This window comes from Homo sapiens, chromosome 12, assembly GCF_000001405.40.
Source record: "Homo sapiens chromosome 12, GRCh38.p14 Primary Assembly".
Taxonomy (NCBI): Eukaryota; Metazoa; Chordata; class Mammalia; order Primates; family Hominidae; genus Homo; species Homo sapiens.
Genome location: NC_000012.12, coordinates 11421311 through 11427650, shown reverse-complemented (window position 1 = coordinate 11427650; position 6340 = coordinate 11421311).

The following is a 6340-nucleotide window of genomic DNA, read 5'->3' as shown; positions in this document are numbered from 1 at the left end:
TGGAAATACTGAGTGGCAACTTTAAAATATTCAAATGGGGATGTCAAATAGATAAAGGCGTGAAGCTCAGAGTAGGAGTCTTGGCAAGAGATTTAACTTTGTGCCTTTGGTACATAGATAATAATTAAAGCTGTTGGCAAGGATGACTTTTTCTAGGGAGATGATATTATATATAGTGACAAGAGGCAAGAGACAAAAAATAGAGGAATTTCATAATTTCACAGCTAGATGGAAACAGATGCATCTGCAAAGGACACACAAGGTGTCAGCTCCTGAATGGTGGGGACCATGATTTTGTATTCATCATTGCATTCTAAACTCCTAGCAAAATTCCTGGCATACAGAAGGCACTCAATATATATTTGATAAATGAAAGAAGTAATGAGTGGAGCAACCAGAGAGTTCAACGTAAAACAAATGCATATAAGTATCATGGAATCAAAGGAAGAGAATATTTTAAGTAAGACAGATTACAAACGATGCCCATCACTGCTGAGAAAGTTAAGATGAAGACTGAAAAAGTCCATTGATTTTAGCAAGCTGGAGGTCACTGGTACCGTGATGTCAGCTGTTTAAGTGGAATGATGGAAACAGAAGACTTGTTTTATAAGCTTCTGTCAGACTTTTTGTTAGATTCCTTAGCATATTGGCAAATTGCTTTCCTAAATTATAACTGAGGGTGACATAGTTTCAGTAGTAAAGGCATTTCTTAACTCTTTCTTCTCAAAGACCATCCCCACACAATAATATCAGGAAACAAGAAAGCAAATTTCATCTTTGATAAATCTTATAGGGCAAATATAAGCAACAATATATGAAGACTAAGTACAGGCAGAGCCATAGTTCCTGGCATAGTGGAAAGGAAGAGGGTTGTATTCAAGCACCTGTGAAGTTCTTGTTATTGGAAAGTGGCACCAAATAAATGTATGTTAATTGGTCTCATAGCACCCTTGTAAGACTGCAGGGCTGCGGACAGCAGGACCTCTGAGGATTATGTTGTAGGAGGGAAGGTGATGGTGAGACAGGTGGCAGGAAACTGTTGGGGTTCACATCCCCCTTTGTTCCAGCAAGAGGGAGTAGGTTTATTTAGAAAAACTGAACCAGAGAGGCAATGGACTTGGGGACAACTTGGCGTTACTAAAGAGGGCATGAGTGAAATTCTACTCTGAAAACAAGCCAATCAAGTGAAAGCCCGTTAAATAAATGGAGGATATCCAACCTCATATCCTGGCCAGCTTCAAGGTCCTGGCAGTGAGGATGATGTTTGCAGGTTAGGAGACAGGAGGATTCTTCGAAAGGATCAGCACTTTCTCAGAGAAAGCAGCTGTAGGTCTACACAAAATACCAGGGCATCCAGCCTCCCTCCTGTGAGGACCTGATTCTACATAATTCTTGCAATGCACATAGAGTTTTCTGATAATCTTAGCGTCTAACTCTAATGTATGAATAGAAAAAAAGTTCATCAGCTATTTGAAGAAAATCTCCATCAAATAAGACTCAAAGAAACAGAAAAAGAGGAATTGGAAGGAGACAGAAACAAGATAAAAAGCAGGATAAACCTTTCAGAAATGGTAATATGTTTCAAGAAATAAGAATAGACACTACATCTTTTTTGTTTGTTTGAGGCAGAGTCTCGCTCTGTCACCTGGCTGGAGTGCAGTGGCACAATCTCAGCTCACTGTAACCTCCGCCTCCTGGGTTCAAGCGATTCTCTTCCCTCAGCCTCCCGAGTAGCTAGGACTACAGGCATGCGCCACCATGCCCAGCCAATTTTTGTATTTTTAGTAGAGACGGGGTTTCATCATGTTGGCCAGGATGGTCTCGATCTCTTAACCTCGTGATCCACCCCGCCTCGGCCTCCCAAAGAGCTGGGATTACAGGCGTGAGCCACTGCGCCCAGCCGACACTGCATTTTTGAAACAAGAATAGGATGTTATTAAATAAAGGAATGACTGGAAAACAAAAAGAAATATTGGCAATTATAAATTCAGTTGATGATAAGCGCAGTAGAAGATAAAGTTAAGGAACTCTCCCATAAGATAGAATGAAAAGAGATGATCCATGGGTGAGAAAAAAAAATTCAACCAACATTAGACAAAGAAAACAGAGACTATATGGGAAAGAAATAGTCAATGAAACACTAGATTTCCCAGAACTTAAGGTGTATTCTCCATATTGAAAGGGCCCAATGTTGATCCGCAGGCCCACACTTAACCATTTGCAGTGCCCAGTGCAGGAATACAAATGGAGCCCCACCTACTTTATAGCCCCTACTCTATAAGTTATAAAGTGTCTAGACCCTAGATTCATGTCAGGTTCCACATAAGTCCTGCAGTCTGTCTCTTGGAAACTGCCTTTCTCAACTAGCCAGGAGGCTAAAGGAACATGTGTTTCCCTGCATTAACCCTGACTGCAAGCTGGGAGGTGGGAGGATGGAGAGGGGTAGGGCTGTCTGCTGGAGCAGCAGGGTGGAAGCTGGGTGGGGGCCAAGCATTGACCTGGCCAAGCTTTTGTGGGAGCCTGCTAGGCAAGCGATGCTCTCTGCCCTGCCTCACTTCTGATTTGGGTTTCCCAGGAGGTTCTAAGCAGCTCCCCAAATGATATTACTGACCACAGGAGTAGTAGAGAGTGCATTTATGGAGGGAGAGTGGGTGAACCTGTCTGCCCAGATGTGCTCTTTGGTCTTTTTAAGCTGAAAAACATTAAGCAAAAGCATTCATTTTTTTCTCTGGTGTCCCAGAGCAGAAGCTGTGAATTTATTCTCATTGTACCTTCTCAATTCTGCATCCTCAGGACTTGAGGACCACAGTTCTGCCTGTGCCCCTCTCCCACAATTCCTGTTTTTTATTTATTTGCTGGACTTTTAAAATATTTTCCAAGGAGAGTGAAAGGAATTAAACCATGCGTTTGGTTTTGGGGTGTGTGGAGACCAATCTAAAATGTAGGGCCCAGCACAGCCCCTGCAACACCCGGAATAGAATACTGAGTGCCCAGCACAATAAATGGAAAGAGATCCATATCAACTTAAATCTAATTAAATTTTAGGGATAAAAGGATGATCCTCAAGATTCCAGTGGAGGAAAAAAACAGTTTTACACTAAGGATTGAGAATTAGAGTGAAAATGGAAGGGTAAAAGTTAGAAGATGGTGTCAGAAAGATTCTGAGCAAAAGTCATTTTCAACCTAGTGTCCTATATTTGGCCAGATTATCAGTCAAGTGTGAGGCCAGACTAAGCACATTCTTAGACATGAATGATCTTGAAATGTTTCCCCTCTCATGTGGCTCATTTGCAACAAGCTATGGAAGAATGGGTTTCACCAAAGAAGAAGGCTGAGAAAGAGGGAGGCATTAACTCAGGATATGCATCACCCTATTTGAGAGAAGAAAATAAAATTTCCAGGACAAAGGCAAATTATCTGAGAAGTGTCAGTGAGGAAAATTGTATGAAGAGGGATTTTACAAGTCCGTTGGAAGTGTCAGGAAGACTTAGATGTTTAAAGAAAACCAAATAAGTGAGAAAAAGGAGGTAATTATTAACTCCAGGAAAAACAAAAGGTTTTGTAAGGAAGGAAATATAAGCGTAATTAATAGGTACAGGGTAGTGATGATATTGGTGAACAAAAGGCAAATAATATTTCCTCATTCTAAAAATGAAATCACAACCAAAAAGTCATCAGTACTTGAAACTGACACCTCACTTCCTAGCAGGGCCTACTAGAAGGAAGCCAATGCATCCCTATCATTCACCCCACTGTGTCCACATTAGACACAATTTGGGCAGAGTGAAATTGTTATAGAGATCAAGTGGGGACTGAGAGATTGAGGGTGGGAAACTTTTCCTTCTCATCCCCTCTAGGTGCTTGCTTCACTGTGAAGTCAAATGAAGGAGACGCCTAGAGATTCACTTGGAAAGGATGGCCTCTCCATAAAGCTATTGGACATGGCTGCTGGTCTTTCCCAAAGTAAAAGATGTGAGAAAGGGAAAGAGAGAAAGAGAGAGATCAAGACAGTGAGACAAAGAGACAGACAGAGTGAAGTTGCCAAAAAAAAAAAAAAAATGAAGCCACAGTTTCTTTTATAACATGATCTCAGGGGTATTAATATATACTAACACTTTCCTCATATTCTATGGGTCACACAGACCAATCCTGATATATTAAGGTGGGAACCACACAAGCATGTGAATATCAGGAGGAAGGAATCTTGGGTATCAGCTGTCTCCTAATGACAACAATTTTGATACAAAAATAAGCAAGTTAAGGGGATTGAGGATTTTTGTGTATTCAAAGAAGGCTTCAAAATGGTGACATTTGAACAGATTTGAATAAAGGGACAAAACATGCTTGATAAAGATATAAGCAAGCTTGGTATATTGGCATAGTGTTAAGAGGCCAGTGTGGCTAAATTAGTGAAGTAAATTAGTTATAGAGAAGTCAATAAGTTCAAAGATAGGAGATAGGCAGGGGACCAATTATGCAGAACCTTGGCTTTAGAAACAGATTTGGATTTCATTATTATGAAAATGATGGAAGTGGTGAGTACAAAAGCCCCTATAGAGTGTGTGGAAGAGAAAATGGGAGGTGAGAACATGGCGAACAATAACTATAACATTCTTTTCAAAGATTTTTGCAATAAAGATGTCAGACAAATTGTGTGGTAAATGGAGAGGCATTAAATATGTAGAGAGAGCTTTGTAAAAATGGGAGATATTACAGCACATTTGTCATAAAGAAGAACAAATTGAAGATGCAGGGAGAAATGGAACATAATTACGGAAGCAAAATCCTTGATTAGGTAATACGGTATGGAATCTAGCATGAAGGTAAAAGATAGGGCCAAGGAACTTCACTTACCATCATGAGAGAAGCCAGAGAATATGTAGGTTTGAGTTCTGTGTGGGTTGGTCAATGTGGTGGTAGTTATGGTGAGATCCTTCTTTCCTGATTTCTTTGAACTTAGTGAAGTTTCTGAGGCCATTGATAGGGTGTGTCCAAATTCCTTACTGAACCATCCTTGACATATTCTTTCAACATGGTGTATTTTTTTTTTTAATCACAATGTTGACTTGTTTATATACTATTGAGTATTTTTCCTAATGGAATATTTCTGCAGATCTGTATTAGTCTGTTCTCGCATTGCTGTAAATAACTACCTGACACTGGGTAATTTATAAATGAAAGAGATTTAATTTACTTGCAGTTCTGCAGACTGTACAGAAAGCAAGGCTAAGGCCAGCCTGGTCTTGAACTCTTGACTTCAAGTGATCCAACTGCCTCAGCCTCCCAAAGTGTTGGAATTACAGGCATGAGCCATGGCACCCAGCCAGATGGAAGTTTAAGAAGACTTTGCATTTCAACTTCAAAATGTCGTGAATTAAACTTTCATATTAAATGTGCACCAGTATACACAACAGACTGGCAGGCACTTACTAATAAAATTTTTAAAAAAATATTATGACTAAAAGACAGAAAATGATAAATAAAAATATATACAAAGTGATACTTTTTTCTTTTTTTCTTATTATACTTTTTTAGGGTACATGTGCACAATGTGCAGTTTAGTTACATATGGATACATGTGCCATGTTGGTGTGCTGCACCCATTAACTCATCATTTAGCATTAGGTATATCTCCCAATGCTATCCCTCCCCCCTACCCCCACCCCACAACATGCCCTGGTGTGTGATGTTCCCCTTCCTGTGTCCATGTGTTCTCATTGTTCAATTCCCACCTATGAGTGAGAACATGAGGTGTTTGGTTTTTTGTCCTTGCGATCATTTGCTGAGAATGATGGTTTCCAATTTCATCCATGTCCCTACAAAGGACATGAACTCATCATTTTTTATGGCTGCATAATATTCCATGGTGTATATGTGCCACATTTTCTTAATCCAGTCTATCATTGTTGGACACTTGGGTTGGTTCCAAGTCTTTGCTATTGTGAATAGTGCCGCAATAAACATACGTGTGCATGTGTCTTTATAGCAGCATGATTTATAATCCTTTGGGTATATACCCAGTAATGGGATTGCTAGGTCAAATGGTATTTCTAGTTCTAGATCCCTGAGGAATCGCCACACTGACTTCCACAATGGTTGAACTAGTTTACAGTCCCACCAACAGTGTAAAAGTGTTCCTATTTCTCCATATCCTCTCCAGCACCTGTTGTTTCCTGACTTTTTAATGATTACCATTCTAACTGGTGTGAGATGGTATCTCATTGTGGTTTTGATTTGCATTTCTCTGATGGCCAGTGATGATGAGCATTTTTTCATGTGTGTTTTGGCTGCATAAATATCTTCTTTTGAAAAGTGTCTGTTCATATCCTTCACCCACTTG